Below are 17,109 nucleotides of genomic sequence, written 5' to 3'. Positions count from 1 at the left end.
GGCCCTGAGCAAGTGACTTAACCTCTCTGGGTCATGGTTTCCTCATCTATAAAAGTGGAGGAAACACAAGTTCCTGTCTGGCAAGCTTCTTGTGAGGATTGAATGAGTTAACACGTGTGAAGCTGTTAGCACAGTTTCTGGTATATATTAAGTGCTGACTTAGCTAGTAGACAACTTCAGAACATCTGCTTTTACCCTTCCTGTGATGGGAATCTTTTCATTTTGCCCAACAGGGATAAAAGTGGAAGAAAAAGCAAAACCCAAGAGATGGGGAATGGGGAGAAGAGAAAAGATGGGGCTGGAATTGTGAAGAGAAGGGGAGAAATGGGTGGCAAATCCCTGGGCAGATGGGAGTCTCCCAGGCACCTCCATGCCTCCATATGCCAAGTCGGAGTCTCCTTGCAGAAGAACTGAGTTACACAGTCCAAAAAGACGCATTGCCCAGGGGCTCACGGGAACCAAAATGGCAGTATCTTGATTTCTGAGAAAGGCCATAACTTTAGAGGATAAACACTCCAAAGTTTCACATGTCAGCCCAGGAAGTGAATGCAGTGTTAACAGCAGGGGGGAGACATGGATGGCACTGAAGGAAGTCAGTCATGTACATAATATCGGGTGTTATAGGTGCTATCTGTGTTGTTATGTTATATAGAATTTTTTTTTTTTTTTTTTTTTGACAGAGTCTTGCTCTGTTGCCCAAGATGGAGTACAGTGGTGCGATCTCAGCTCATTGCAATCTCTGCCTTCTGGATTCTAGTGATTTTTGTGCCTCAGCCTCCCAAATAGCTGGGATTATAGGTGCCCACCACCACATCCGGCTAATTTTTTGTATTTTTAGTAGAGACGGGGTTTCCCCATGTTGGCCAGGCTGGTCTCAAACTCCCGACCTCAGATGATCCACCTGCCTCGGCCTTCCAAAGTGTTGGGATTACAGGCGTGAGCCACCACGCCCAGCCTGATTATATTTCTTAATGTAAATATGAAGATAATTTACCCAGTACTTCATATATTCTCAGGAACGTTAGGGTAAAGGGTGGGAACACATGTCATTCGACTATATTCCTGCCACCGATAATCTGGCATGCCTTGATGTGAGTGCCGCTGAGTGATGGAGAAGAGGTTCCAAGCAGACAAGCAGGGAGGGAACAGATATAACATTCAGGGGGGAGAATGTGTCTAGCAGTCCAAATACAAGGCACAGCGTGATGAGTCCAGAACACACAGGCACCAGAGTATGACCTGAGCCTAAAGTGCAAGGAGAGGGAGATAAGGCTGGAGAGGGAGGGTTCCATCAGCACACCAGGTGTCTTGTCTGGGCACTTTAACTTGATTTTTCTGAGCTGTAAGAAATCACCAGAGGGTGTTGAGCAGGGGAATACCACTTAGAAACACAGTGTAGAATGGTTTTGAAGGGACTATGCTTAGACAGTGGGAAAAATGTTAGGGACCTACTGCAGTGGCTCAAGCAGGACAGATGAAACCTGAGCTAAAGCAGAAGGAATCCAGGAATCCAAGTATGGAAGCAAAATCAGTGGAGCCTGAAGAACTTATTGATAGGAGGAGGGACTACTCCCTGGTTTCTGGTTTGGGTAATTGGAGTGGATCATGGTGATTCAGGAGACACGGGGTGTGCAAGTGGAAGGATAACTTTCTCGTTGGATGCAGGATGAAGATGAAGGACTGTGTGTAGTGGAGTGTGTGTACATATGAGTGGAAGGAGTGAAGTTAGTGAAAGGCTCCTTGCAAAGCTAAATGGAAAAGAAGTTTAGTTTTTCTGCTATTTTATATTATTTTTGCCACCTCTTCTCTTCTTTAGAGTGAGAATAAAGATACTCCAAAGCAGAACAAACAACTAACATTTACTAAGTGCTTCGTTTGTGACTTCTTTGGATGGGTAAAGACTTTACCTATATTACTGCATTTGACCCTCAAAATGGTAGTGAAATGAATATTGTGTCTGGTTTATAGATGCACAAATTGAGATTCAAAAGGGCTAAGTAATGTGCTAAAAGTCTCACAACTAATAAACGGCAGAGCTGATATTACTTTATCAGAAAAAGAGAATTTCAGGAAACAAAAAAGAATTTTACATTGTTCCTATTTCTGGTTGGGAGAAAACAGGTTGTTACATGTGGATGAACAAATGCACATTGGCAGTTTTATTAACACCTTAATTTATTATATTTTTATGCTTTCCTTAGATTTCTCTCAAAATATCTAGGTAAGGCAGCCAGGGCAGATGCTAGTATCTCTATCAGTCAATCAACAAACATTTGTCCGGCATCACACTGAGCAAGTCACTGTTCATGTGAAGTTTTTCTTATGGTCCTGCTTACAAGAATTTTACTGTCTAATAAAGAGTTATTATATGGGCTACATAGCAACATGGGATGCATATGCCTAGTGCTAAATGAAGGCTGTAAACTATTTTCAAAACTGCATTCCCTGGAAACCCCAGATCCTAGTTCCTACAGAGTAACGGTTCTCAAAGGGTGGGATGATTTTGCCCCCTAGGGGACATTTGGTGATGTCTGGGGACATTTTTCATTCTCACAACCTTGGAGGGTGTGCACCGCTGGCATCTATTAGGCACAGGGCAGGGACGCTGCTGAGCATCCTGCAATGCATAGGACAGAACCCACAACAAAAAATTATCCAGCCCAAAATGGCAACAGTCTTTTTGAGAGGTTGAGAAAGCTGCTCTAGGGTAATATAATTACTTGATTTTATTTTTAAAACTACCCTTTATTTAAAAATAGTAATAAAACAACAGATAAGCTAAAATGATTACATACTTTGTTTATTATTATACTTTAAGTTCTAGGGTACATGTGCACAACGTGCAGGTTTGTTACATATGTATACATGTGCCATGTTGGTGTGCTGCACCCATTAACTCATCATTTACATTACGTATATCTCCTAATGCTGTCCCTCTCCCCTCCCCCCACCCCACAACAGGCCCTGGTGTGTGATGCTACCCACCCTGTGTCCAAGTATTCTCATTGTTCAATTCCCACCTATGAGTGAGAACATGCGGTGTTTGATTTTCTGTCCTTGCGATAGTTTGCTCAGAATGATGGTTTCCAGCTTCATCCATGTCTCTACAAAGGATATGAACTCATCCTTATTTTATGGCTGCATAGTATTCCATGGTGTATATGTGTCACATTTTCCTAATCCAGTCTATCGTTGATGGACATTTGGGTTGATTCCAAGTCTTTCCTATTGTGAACAGTGCCGCAATAAACATACTTGTGCATGTGTCTTTATAGCAGCATGATTTATAATCCTTTGGGTATATACCCAGTAATGAGATGGCTGGATCAAATGGTATTTCTAGTTCTAGATCCTTGAGGAATCGCCACACTGTCTTTCACAATGGTTGAACTACTTTACAATCTCACCAACAGTGTAAAAGTGTTCCTATTTCTCCAGATCCTCTCCAGCACCTGTTGTTTCCTGACTTTTTAATGATTGCCATTCTAACTGGTGTGAGGTGTTATCTCATTGTGGTTTTGATTTGCATTTCTCTGATGCCCAGTGATGATGAACATTTTTTCATGTGTCTGTTGGCTGCATAAATGTCTTCTTTTGAGAAGCGTCTGTTCATATCCTTTGCCCACGTTTTGATGGGGTTGATTTTTTCTTGTAAATTTAAGTTCTTTGTAGATTCTGGATATTAGCCCTTTGTCAGATGGAAAGATTGTAAAAATTTTCTCCCATTCTGTAGGTTGCCCGTTTTTTTTTTTGTTTTGTTTTGTTTTGTTTTGGAGACAGAGTTTTGCTCTTGTTGCCCAAGCTGGAGTGCAATGGCACAATCTTGGCTCACTGCAACCTCCGCCTCCTGGGTTCAAGTGATTCTCCTGCCTCAGCCTCCCGAGTAGCTGGGATTACAGGCATGCACCACCATGCCCAGCTAATTTTTTGTGTTCTTAGTAGAAACGGGTTTCACCATGTTAGCCATGGCTGGTCTCGAACTCCTGACCTCAAGTGATCCACCCTCCTCGGCCTCCCAAAGTGCTGGGATTACAGCGTGAGCCACCGTGCCCAGCCGGCTGCCTGTTCACTCTGATGGTAGTTTCTTTTGCTGTGCAGAAGCTCTTTAGTTTAATTAGATCCCATTTGTCAATTTTGGCTTTTTTTGCCATTGCTTTTGGTGTTTTAGTCATGAAGTCCTTGCCCGTGCCTATGGCCTGAATGGTATTGCCTAGGTTTTCTTCTAGGGTTTTTATGGTTTTAGGTCTAACATTTAAGTCTCTAATCCATCTTGAATTAATTTTTGTATAAGGTGTAAGGAAGGGATTCAGTTTCTGCTTTCCACATACAGCTAGCCAGTTTCCCAGCACCATTTATTAAATAGGGAATCCTTTCCCCATTGCTTTTGTCAGGTTTGTCAAAGATCAGATGGTTGTAGATGTGTGGTATTACTTCTGAGGGCTCTGTTCTGTTCCATTGGTCTATATCTCTGTTTTGGTACCAGTACCATGCTGTTTTGGTTACTGTAGACTTGCAGTATAGTTTGAAGTCAGGTAGTGTGATGCCTCCAGCTTTGTTCTTTTGGCTTAGGATTGTCTTGGCAATGTGGGCTCTTTTTTGGTTCCATATGAACTTTCAAGTAGTTTTTTCCAATTCTGTGAAGAAAGTCGTAGCTTGATGGGGATGGCATTAAATCTATAAATTACCTTGGGCAGTATGGCCATTTTCATGATATTGATTCTTCCTATCCATGAGCATGGAATGTTCTTCCATTTGTTTGTGTCCTCTTTTATTTCGTTGAGCAGTGGTTTGTAGTTCTCCTTGAAGAGGTCCTTCACATCCCTTGTAAGTTGGATTCCTAGGTATTTTATTCTCTTTGAAGCAATTGTGAATGGGAGTTCCCTCATGATTTGGCTCTCTGTTTGTCTGTTATTGGTGTATAAGAATGCTTGTGATTTTAGCACATGGATTTTGTATCCTGAGACTTTGCTGAATTTGCTTATCAGCTTAAGGAGATTTTGGGCTGAGACAATGGGGTTTTCTAGATATACAATCATGTCATCTGCAAACAGGGACAATTTGACTTCCTCTTTTCCTAATTGAATACCCTTTATTTCTTTCTCCTGCCTGATTGCCCTGGCCAGAACTTCCAACACTATGTTGAATAGGAGTGGTGAGAGAGGGCATCCCTGTCTTGTGCCAGTTTTCAAAGGGAATGCTTCCAGTTTTTGCCCATTCAGTATGATATTGGCTGTAGGTTTGTCATAAATAGCTCTTATTATTTTAAGATACATCCCATCAATACCTAGTTTATTGAGAGTTTTTAGCATGAAGGGCTGCTGAATTTTGTCGAAGGCCTTTTCTGCATCTATTGAGGTAATCATGTGGTTTTTATCTTTGATTCTATTTATATGATGGATTATGTTTATTGATTTGCGTAGATTACATACTAAATTTTAACACATTGTACTCACCAAAGGATTAAATGCTGCTGTCAGATTAAATGGTTTTGTGGAGAACTTGGACTAAATCTTGCTGGCACAGCAATTGTAAAGGAGAACAGTTTCTAACAAGATTACCTACTCTGAAGAATCTCCTCAAATTTCTAGATGAGCTGTTATTAAAAAATATATGTATTTCCAACTATTTGTGCATACCAGGTTTAAGAGATAAAATGCAGAAATAAATTTGGAAGCTGAAGCTGATAAAAGACTACTGTCATCTATAGCACTCAATTTCATATTTTTGTATCTATTGAACAGTCTAATTGATTTTACAAATAAATGTTAAGCTTAAACTTATAAATTTGAATGAAATACTGATTTTCATTTGGGGGAAATGAAAAGGCCTGTGCTACAAACAAATAGGCCTGGGCACTGGGACGGGAAGATCCATGACCCGCCCCTTTAAGTGTTCATGCAAACCAGCAGCAAAGGCAGCATGGAGGGCTTGGCAAAAATGCAGAATCCCAGGCCCCTGCCCAGACTTTCTGAATCAGGATCTGCCTTTCAGTAAGATTCCCCCACACATGAGAGTTTGAGAAGTGCCTGTCCATAGGACTTCACAGAAGAGAAATCAAGTAGGGCTGGTATAAACGGTGAGGACTTCTGGCACTGTGGGATTTCTGCAGGGCATGATTCAAATTCAACAGACAAGGACATATGGAGTGGACATTCCAGGTGAGGAAAGGGGCAATACGAGGAGGCTGGGAATAGACCACCCATGCCAGACAGAGGTTCTAGTAGCAGGACACTTAGGAACAGCTTGAGGAAGTGGGGGAAGAGGCAACTTGCGGCTGAGGCTGGCAGCCAGCCAGGTCCCCACTTCGGGCTGCCCCTTACCTTGTGGATGGAGCAGCGTCCGCCGGAATTCCAGGCCAGGATCGCCAACCGCTTAGCCACCATGAACCAATTAAACCTCCAGCAGCCCCAGGAAGTCGGAGCTCATTATCTCCAATGTCTACATGGGGAGCCGACCACTTCCGAAGCTGTAATTACCGGAGGTCAGAGGGCACCTGAGGCAGGAAGTCTGGTCTGTCCCAGCACATTCTTGGCGCTCCCAGGTTTTCCCTCTGAGGAACACAGAGGAGGAGATGCCCTCCGCCGTTGGAAGTCCTTCCACAGTTTAAGGGGCTTCAAGGAGCCCTAGCTGGGGGAAAAAGAACCTTCGACCATCTTTACTCAAGCCAGGCGCTGTGAAAAGAACCTCCCATACAGTAGCCTCGTGCCTGGGAGGGAGCAGGCTACGGGGCGGGTTTGCTGGAGAGATGCCGGCCTGGGGCAGCCTTAGGGAGGAAGGAATTGGAGGCAGCTGTAGAGGGGTTCTGCAGGAAGAGGGCTCCAGCGGGGCTATTCCAGAGAGAGAGGTTGGAACTATTAATATAATAGCTATCCAATCAGGCTGTGAGGGAACTACAATTGAGTCAAGAAATTATCTTGTTTCCTTAGGAACACAAACAGGCCTACGAAGGCTTACCTGTCTCCTGAATTCTCACAGATGCCCTGGGAAAAAGGCTTTGCAGCTTGGCTGGTGGCCTGAAGCACGAGCTCTGAGACCTCTTGACCAGCCCTGATTTTGCTAGGAGCCTGTCCTGGGGCCCGCTTTCTCTTGACCTCCTGAGAGGTCTGGTGAGGTTTCTAAGTCAAGGCAACGGACTAGATTCCAGTAGAAGGACAAGTGTCCAAGGCATGAAGGGGAACGTCAGGGCCAGTTGCTCAGTCCCTTCAGGGCCACCCACAGCCGCCCTGGTCCTAGAGGCTGGGCTGCCTCTCCCCTGCCCAGCATTGCTCAGAGCATATGTTAACATCCAGCTGGGGCCCTTATCTCAGCCTGGAGACAGATTCATCAACTCCTGGAGGCCAAGGGCCAGCTTGAAGCCCTGCCTCCCCGAGATGCTGCCCCTTCGATTCCTGCTTAATCACTCCCAGCTGTTCAGGATCCTGAGTTAGCACAGATTTTCTGGGAAGAAAAGGCTCTGAAACTTGCACCATGTATTAGGTGGCTGGGGACAGTTTTGGGAACACAGCCAGTGCTGTTGGTGCCAGTCAGGGCTGCACTACAGTCCTGGGCATCTCCACAAAGAGTGGAAGAAAAAGGCTGAGGCTGCCTGTGGAGAGACCTGAAAAGTCACTCCCATCCCTTGGCCGGTCTCAAGCAAGAGATCTGCCCCTGAGTTTAAGGAATGATCTTTGGGATAGGTCTCAGTACACAGAGTCTAGGACTTCACCAGAACAGAAGAACATAGGTGTTTTGTTTCTCCTCCAAACTCCTGAGACTTATTCTTCTGGTATACGAAGAAATAGTTCCTTACAGCTGCAAAAACCCAGGGAGAGGATAACGTTAAGCTAAGAACATCTTAATATAGGATGCACATTTGGAAGCTTCTGCAAGGTACAAGCTAGCAAGGCAGGGACAGAGGAGGTAGTGATGGTGGGTAGAGGTGTGGTGATAAATGGGGAGGCCCCAAGTTCATCGTGATACACTCAGTTAAGGGATGCCACAGGTAGGGTGCTCTTCAGTCAGAAGGCAGTGAGATGCACCAGAATCCCTGGAGAAGCACTTCAGGGGGAGGAGGGCAGGCTCGAGAAAGGAAGAAAAGGAAGCTCAAAGCTGATGGGTTAGACCAGCCCAAGCCCAGGTATCTGCTCCTGGCTATTTTGGAGAGGAAGCCAACCCTGATGGGCTGGACTGGATTTCAAGCTGCTCGGCCAGGCATCCAACAGGGCCTATGGAAAGACTGACAGCTTGACCTCTCCAGGGATCAGGGGTATGGTGGGGCCCAGGTGACTTCAAACCTGAAGCCCCAGACAAGCATAGTATAGCCATGTAATAGAATACTATGTAGTCATTAAAAATCATGCTATTCTTTAAGAATATTTATATGGGGAAATTATTATATATTTGTTTCTTTTTTTTTTTGAGATGGGGTCTCAATCTGTCACCCAAGTTGGAGTGCAGTGGCACGATCTTGGCTAACTGCAACCTCCACCTTCCAGGCTCAAGTGATCCTCCCACTTCAGCCTCCTGAGTAGCTAGGACCACAGGTATGCACCAGCATGCCCAGCTAATTTTTGGTATTTTTGCTGGAAATGGGGTTTTGCCATGTTGCCCAGGCTGGTCTTGGACTCCTGGGCTCAAGCAATCCACCTGCCTCAGCCTCCCAAAGTGCTGGGATTACAGGCATGAGTCACCGCACCCAGCCTTCATTATATATTTGTAACTGAAAAAAAAAAAAGCTAGCATTACCAACACTAGAAACAGCAGGTACAGATACGGAGTCCAGTTATTTTGCTGAATACATCCACTTCCACCGCTGGCCTGGGAAGGTACTAGTTATCAGCACTGGTTATCTCTGTGTAGCAGCATTGTGGGTAACATTTGTTTTCTTCATGTTTTTCTCTGTGTTCCAAACTTTCTGTAATCAACATGCTTTGCTTTTGTAAACAGAGGACAATAATTGTTTATTTAAATGGTAGCATTAGCTCTATTTAAACTGGTACTTCCATTTAAAGGCCAAAGAGTCAGGGAGCTGTCGGTAAATGAGAAGGGGTTGGGTGGGCTCTGTTACTGGCCTGCCAGCATCCATTCCCCCTTCTTCCTTCCTTCAATTCTCTCCTTTGCTGTGCTCTGCAACTTCCATGCACCCCTCCAGACCCACTCTCCACTTCCCTCTTTCCCACTTTATGTCCTGGAGGGAGGCTGACCTTTATGGACAACATCAAAAGCCTTGGCTGGGTTTGGCTAGTAGGGAACACCAGCAGGAGATCAAAGGGAGTTGGGAACGTGATGCTGGGTGTTGATTCCTCGGGCTTCCTCCCAGCAGGCCAGCTGCGACCCTCTTCAAAAGGCCACGTCTCCCTCGGATGCTTCTCTTCACACAGTTGTCTTTGTCTCTGGTACCCTCGCCTTCCTTTGCCAGCCTTGGGGTGGTGTAATGGGCTGAGTGGTGGTTCACCCCCCAATCATGTCAACACCCTAACCCCTAGAACCTGTGAATGTGACCTTTTTCAGAAAAAGGTCTCTGTCAATGTAATTAAATTAAGGATTTTGAGATGAAGAGATTATTCTGGATCATCTGGGTGGGCTCTAAATCCAATAAGTGTCCTTATAAAAGAGAAGCAGAGGGAGATTTGACATACAGCAAAGAAGGAGACAATGTGAGGAGGCAGAGATTGGAGCGATGCAGCCACAAGCCAAGGAGTGCCCACAGCCGCATGAGGCTGGGGAGGCAAAGAGTGATTCTCTCCTCAGGCCTCCAGGGGGAGTGTGACTGGGGCCTCTGGGGACTTCTGGCCTCCAGAACTGTGAAAGAATAAATTTCTGTTGTTTTAAGCCACCTAATTTGTGTTATTTTGTTATAGTGGCCACAGGAAACCAATATAGATGGTAAGATGGTAACAGTATGCCCTGTTATTACTGGCCTTGCAGGTGCAGTGGTTTTTTTGTTTTGTTTTGTTTTGCTTTCCTTAGACCGCTCATACTTTTGTAGTCTCACTGTTAACCTCTTCTCACATTACTCGGTTTTCGTGAGCCACCTGTTTCCTGCAGAAGCCTGTCTGACATGGGTGTCTGCCTCACCCATAGGTAGCCTGTGCCCCAGGGCAAGCTGACCCCACCTCATATCCAGGGGTCATTCCTGGTTTTTCCAAGCAATTGTGGTAATCCTGTTCCCCTTGCAAGTGGTCCAAGAATGGACATGTCCAAAATGTGGCCAAATCAGAGGGAAATCTAGAGAGTTTCTAGGACAATTCCATCTTCCGTGAGAGAGCCACAGGAAGAGATGGCCCTTCTTTTCCTCTTCTTCCCCTGGACATGGCATGTCCAGGTATGATGCCTGCAGCTGCTGCAATTTGAGCCCATTGGTGAGCCAGTGATTCCACCAGCCCTGAAGCTGGTCCTATCCCAGCCTTCCAGTCACGTGAGATAATACATTTCTATACCCCTTATTTCCATTTGAGTTGGAGTGTTATCAGTGGCTAGAAGCCTAGTAAATGATGGAGATTTAGATTGGTTCTACATTGCCTTAAGGCAAAGATGGTCAAATTGTTTTAAATATCCTAGCAACTTAAAAATAATTTCAAAACTTGAAAAATCTTGATGAAAAAACCTTTCTTGATATATATGTGTTCACGCTTGGCTGAAAATAGTAGCAAAACAAAATGTGTAAAGATTTATAGTCAACCACCATGTTAAACGGGGAGAGGGTCTGAAATAATAGCAATAAGGTAACAATAGAAATAAGGTGAAACAAAAACAATTCTGTGTAACACAACTAGGATATTCACATCAGCAAACAACCATGAGAGCTGTTACATGCCAGGCACTCAGCACTGGGGAATGAAATGGGAATAAGATCTTGGTCATTTTCCTTGAAGTGCTTATATATTGTTTTTAAAACCGGCTGGGCACAGTGGTTTACGCTTGTAATCCCAGCACTTTGGGATGCTGAGATGGGAGGACCACTTGAGGCTAGGAATTTGAGATCAGCCTGGCCAACATAGTGAGACCCTACCTCTACCAAAAAAAAAAAAAAGAAAGATTAGCCAGGAGTGGTGTCACATGACTGTAGTCCCAGCTACTCAGGATGCTGAGATAGGAGGATCGCTTCAGTCAAGTAGTTTGAGGCTGCCATGAGCTATGATTGTGCTGCAGCAAACCAAAAACCCCAAGCCAAAAAAATTTCCAGGTTATATTTCATCCAAGTTGTGGGAAATAAATGCGAAACAGTTCATCTAGTATTCATCTACACTTGTATCTTCACTTTCTGTACTGCTGTTGATTATATACTTGGTGAGAAATACAGTTACAAGGTCAAAGTGAGTACAGTTTAGAGGAAGAAAAATAGGAATTTGATTCAGAAATATCACATAAACAAAGTGTGGTGGAAAAAATTGATCATTACCCCAAAATGCTGAAAACTATGTTCTACTTGTAAAATATTACTTGGAACTGTAGCTGGTATTTCCCAGACACCCTATTGAAAGAGAACTGGTTGAAGGCTTGCAGGGCAGCAATAGTATCCCAGGTCTTCCCATCAAACTCCACAGAATAAAACAGATCGAGATAAGAGCCATTTCTTTATCAGCCAAGACTCCTGCCCCTTAATTCCAGGATCAGGAAGAAGACGTCCCTCAGTAAGTGTAGGCACATTCTTGAAACAAAACCCACTCCCACCAGCCAGAGAGTCCCATGCAGAACCATTCCTTTTGGGTCAGATAGGTCCTCTCCATAAATCCTCTTTAAAATACTAACACCTTTGGCAGGGGTATCAAATTAACTCACAACAATGGTTGATTCCTTTAGTTCTTCATCAGGGCTCCGAGAGACAGGAATATGGGGGAATGAAGAAGAGAGGGATTAAGAGAACATCGTTTGGAAAGGCTGGGACAGGTGAGATATTGAAGTTGCGAAATCCCTGGCAGGCAAAAGGCTGAGTGAGGGGCCTGGAGACGAGCCACATACTTTTACCTCTTTCCTTGGTCTTATTTCCCATCTCTCCTTGGCCTTCTTCTTTTAAGCAAAGCCTCAGTGGAGGCCAACCTCATTCCACAAGCTTCTAAAGGTTTGCTCCATGAAACACTGGTTCTTCATGATACTCTTAGAAAATTCTGCAGTCCAATAAGTTTGGGAAATGTTGTGTACTGAAAGTCCTCAGAGAGTCATAAGTAGGTTAGCAAATTCATGGCTCTGAGAAGTCCTGCAGTCAGGAGCTCTGACTGGTGTACATTTAGGCCAGCGATTTCCAAAATATTTTTTGTCAAAGAGCTCTTTAGTGCATGTTATCACCCGTTAAGAATACATTATGAGAAAGGCATATCTGATGGTCATAGTTTTCAATTAGAGTATTTTTTAACCAAGTTTTAAGATGATATAGCCCCCAATATTTTCTTGTTTTGATATCTAACTAATTGCCAACCCATGGTGTCTGGGCAGGGAAGAGAAGAAGAGACAAAAATGTGTTTTGGACACTCAGCTGTTTCTTGTTGGCTTTCCTAGAAAACAATTTGGATGGAAACAGATTTTAGCTATTCCTTACTTTAGAGTTAGCAGATTAGCCACAGATTGTAATTATCTAGGCTCTCTTTTCTTTATTAATCTGGAAACTTGGAAGTTGGTTTCTGCTGAGTTGTTCTCAGCAAAACTTGGCCTCCTTTAAAGCAGTAGCCTCCTTAGTAAGCTCCTTTTCCTTACCCTGTACTCTGGAAACAGCCCAAACATCATATCTCCCCAAGGAGAGCTGGTTTAGGAAAACTGCTATTGTTCCTGGCTGGAAGGTGTTTCAAATAGAATCATCACAGATGTAACTGCATGTTCAGGATATTGTCTGGAAACCACCAAACTATCAAGTATTTGAGACCACAAGAGACAGATCCAAGGGCTCACTGTAAAACTTAGCCAGAGTGAACTCTGTGAGCCAGAAGCCAGGTACCACTGAGAACTTGTTAGAAATGCAAGATCTGAGGGCCCACCCCGGACCTCCCAAAGCAGAATCTGCATTTGAACAGAGCCTCAAGCCATTTATATGCACAAAGCCTAAGAAATATCAACATTCATTCCATCATGTCTCATTCATTTATTAACAATTATCAGATACCCCACTAGACACCCTGCTGTTCTAGATATTGGGGTCACAGTGGTTAAAAAGGCAGGTAAGGTCTCGATTCTCATACAGCTTACATTCTAGTGGGGAAGACAGACATAAACGCATTTAAAAGTAAAGATTTCAGGAAGTGGCAAGTGCCTGAAGAAGTAAGAGGGTAATGGATTAGAAAATGAATGGGAGTCAAGGGTGAGATGAAATGGTCAGGCGGTATCAGTCTGAATAGAGACCTGCCTGGGGAGAAAGAGCAGCCACATGGTAGCCTGGGGCAGGAACATTCCAAGCAGATGACACAGTGACAGCAAAGGCCCCAGGGAGAGTATGAGCTTGAGAACAGAGAGAAAGGAGACGAGTGTGGCTAACGCTCAGCAAATTAAGAAATTCTGAGGTCAGAGAGCTAGAGAAGGGCCAGATTATGTGCACCAAAGAGTCTCAGATTTAGTATGCATCAGAATCACTTGGAGGAGGGCTTGTTAAAACATAGCTTGTTGGGTCCTACCCCAGAGTTTCTAACGCAGTAGCTCTGGGGTGGGGCCCAAGAATTTGCATTTCTGACAAGGTCCAGGTGATGGTGATGCTGCAAGTCCAAGGACCACACTTGGAGAACCACTGATGGAGAGCGTTGTGGGTCCTTGTAAGGAGTTCAGTTATACTCGAAGTGTGATGGAAGCCATCAGAAGATTCTAAGCAGGGGAGTGGCAAGAGCTGATGTTCATTTTCCTCTGCTATCCCCAGAGGAGCAGACCTCTCCAGTCATCCACTATCACCTGGACTTGCATCCCCTTCCTGCTGTGCTCGTCACCTGATTTGATCCAGTTTCCCACCCATTCTCTTCATTTCCTCCCTAACATTTCCACTGTGCCTTCTGGAAGCCCCAATCCTTGACTCTCAATTTTGCCTGTCCTCAGCCTACATCAGAGCCTCCCTCTTTCTTCCTTGCCTTAATTGGAGCCTGGCTGGTCCCAAGAGTACAACATTCACACAGCTGTTTCTGGCAGAGCCTGTCTGATATCTTACAGTCTGATATCTTACAAACCTTAGGGCCTGGAAGGAGTGTTGGTGCCTGCTTGTTCTCTACTGTTGCTCCTGGAACTTAACCTCTGTTACCTTTTACAAAATGTCCTACCCATTAAAAGCTCTGGCTTCCTGACTATACCACGCGATCACATGTCTTTTCTTTTCTTCCATGTGATCCATTCACTCATTCACTGGACTGCACCTCCTGGCTCCCCATCTTTTTCTCTGCATAGCCTTTCTTGACAATCTCATTAAAGTAACCATACAATGTCCCATCTAGCAGCCTGGCTTCTCAGTTTCCTGGACCTTCTCATCTCGAATGACGTTTTCTCCCTCCACTCCACCTCAAGGTCATAGCCTGAACCTTGTCACCACCAGAAACTGTTCTGCTGCTGCAAGCCCAAAGCCCCACTCTCTCATAAGCTTTCTGTCCTTGACACATACTTGAGCGTCTACTGTGACAATTCTTCAACTCTGTTGAGATCTCTTTTCTGTTGGCTCCACCGCCTTTTACAATTTGTCAGTCACCTTTCTGTTCACTCCTCGTGTCCAGCTTAGGGCTTATGGTTCATCACCATAAACAACTTCCTTCCAAAACTCTCATCCTCAGAATCCCCTTGCCTTTCCACGGAGTCTCCTACAAAATACTAAGTGAGCCCACCCATGTATCTCTCCACTCAAGCAGCTCGACATTACTATGGAAAAGTCAAGCAAGCAGGCTGCTTTCACTTTCAGTTCATCGCAGACCTCAAAGGGGTACTTGGAGCTACTAAGCAATATTGCTGTGTTTCTCTGTTAAAACCAGCATTCGTATTCTTCTAGGGTACTTTTTCATTCCTTTTTTATCCTTAAAACTCCCACTGCCCTTCCCTGCTTTTTAGTCTCAGCTGATGAACTCTCCTCGTTTCACTGAGGAAAGAGATGCTGTCCGATGGAAATGCTCACATTTCCCCACCTAGAAACCTACAAGCACAGCCACACTTGCTGGCCTCCTCTGCCCCTTCCCTGTCTGCTCAGCTGTGTCCAAGTGGCCTCCTATCATCCATTCAGTCCCTCCCATCAGCGTCTCCCTTGCTACTGTATCGTTCCCATTGGCACACACACCTGCTTCAGTATCGCCCATCTGTTTCTTCTGTAATTTATATCTGTACTTCCAAATAATACAGCTATTTTTAGGTTCTTCAATTTTAGACACTTATTGCCTTCCTGCACCCTCCTTGTGCATATTTCCCCTCCACCCACCCTCCCAACATCGTTACAGCACCATTTTTGGCTAAATCAATGTACTGTGCTAGCATTACTATAAGTACTCACAGCTGAACCATATAGGCTGTTATTCTTTTATGGGTCAACTTTGGTTTTCTTGGAATTACTAATTACCTCATTTTTTCATTGCTTAGTCTTCCAAATATTAATTACTAAGTTTTTGCTAAGCTTTCCAATCAAATTGCAAAAGTCCTCTCTTGAGTCACAGGTAACCATTCAAGACTGCTTCTTCACCCCCAAATCCAGCTACCGCCAATGAACAGCTCTGCTGGGAGTGTCACCTGTGCATGTGTGTGGCCTCTCCAGTGTGGTCAGGCTAGGGGAGTGGGACTTCTCACGCCGCAGTTCAGGACTCCAAGAGTGAGTATTCCTGAGACAGGGTGGAGGTCTCACGGCCTTTTATGACCTTACCTGGAAGTCACATAGGGTTGCTTCTCCCCTGTTGCAATGATGGAAGCAGTCAAAACCTCACCCAGATCATGGGGAAAAAAGCACAAAGCTATCCTCTCTATGGAAGGAATGTTCAGGAAGATTTATGGCCATGTTTTAAAGCTGCCACAGAGACAACTTATGTGAGATAATACTAAAATTGTGTTGAAAAATAGTCCAAACTTTTTCAAAGAATTTTCCTTTTTTTTTCTTTTTTGACACAATGTCTCACTCTCTTGCCCAGGCTGGTGTGCAGTGGCATGATCTCAGTTCACTGCAACCTCCGCCTCCTGGGATCAGGCGATTCTTGTGCCACAGCCTCTCTGGTTGCTGGAATTACAGGTATGCGCAACCACACCCAGCTAATTTTTGTGTGTGTGTGTGTATTTTTAGTAGAGATGGGGTTTCACCATGTTACCCAGGGTGGTCTGAAACTCCTGGCCTCAAGTGATCTGCTCGCCTAGGCTTCCCAAAGTATTGGGATTACAGGTGTGAGCCACTGCGCACAGCCAATAATTTTCATTGTTGTATATAGAAAATACAGAATTTCATGGCGATATCAGAAACATAAATACTGTACAGTATTGTCATGAGCTTAAGTAGAATATCTTTGGAGGGAATCCCAAGAAGCTGGTACCGGGAGAAACCAGGTGACCGAAGGCCAGAGCAGGAAGAGACTTTGCCCTATAGACCATTTTGTATCTTTTGAATTTTTCATCATGGGCTTGAACTGCCTTTCTAAAAATATTAAATGATCAAATGTGTTTGATGATGTCACAGCTTCTCCTGGCCATGTCAGTTCCCAGGATAGTTTAGACCAGGGCTGTCCAAGAGAACTTTCTGTGACAATGGAACTATTGTGCATCTGACCTGTCCAATACAGCAGACACTAGCCTCACATGCCTACTTAGCACTTGAAATGTGGCTAGTACAATTAAGGAATTAAATTTTTAACTTAATTTAAATGTTAATTGCCATCTGTGGCTAGTGACTACATCCTTTATGTTTGCAGCTGAGGGGCTGGGAGGAGCTTGCACATGTGGGATACGGGGGCAGGGAGCATGAGATCCCTGGGGTCATGGTCTCCAAACATTTTTGCACATGCGCTCCCTAAAACAGTTTTAAACAACTGTATATCTCTTTGCAGAAATTAAATTTGACATCTAAATGCTTCCTCCTTAGTTTAAAAGTTTATTTTTGTTAGGAGTTATAAAAGATTAAACATTTCATAAGATGAAATAAGATGAGGACTAACTATAATTGGAATAGTATTTCATGAGCTGGTTTGATAAAGTAAGTTTTAATTACTGAATAATGCA

The 17,109-nt window shown here is 44.2% G+C and overlaps 2 annotated features.

Annotated features, from left to right (window-relative positions):
- Window positions 6,762–7,713: an enhancer, noted in NCBI's record as "H3K4me1 hESC enhancer chr2:149317839-149318790 (GRCh37/hg19 assembly coordinates)". NCBI's record gives its function as "activates a minimal SCP1, AML or CMV promoter by ChIP-STARR-seq in naive H9 embryonic stem cells {active_cell/tissue: H9 hESC(naive)}" and the evidence as "EXISTENCE:reporter gene assay evidence [ECO:0000049][PMID:30033119]".
- Window positions 13,224–14,181: an enhancer, noted in NCBI's record as "NANOG-H3K27ac hESC enhancer chr2:149311371-149312328 (GRCh37/hg19 assembly coordinates)". NCBI's record gives its function as "activates a minimal SCP1, AML or CMV promoter by ChIP-STARR-seq in naive H9 embryonic stem cells {active_cell/tissue: H9 hESC(naive)}" and the evidence as "EXISTENCE:reporter gene assay evidence [ECO:0000049][PMID:30033119]".

Source organism: Homo sapiens, chromosome 2 (assembly GCF_000001405.40).
Source record: "Homo sapiens chromosome 2, GRCh38.p14 Primary Assembly".
NCBI classification, from domain to species: Eukaryota; Metazoa; Chordata; class Mammalia; order Primates; family Hominidae; genus Homo; species Homo sapiens.
This window is presented reverse-complemented; position numbering and strand designations above follow the sequence as displayed.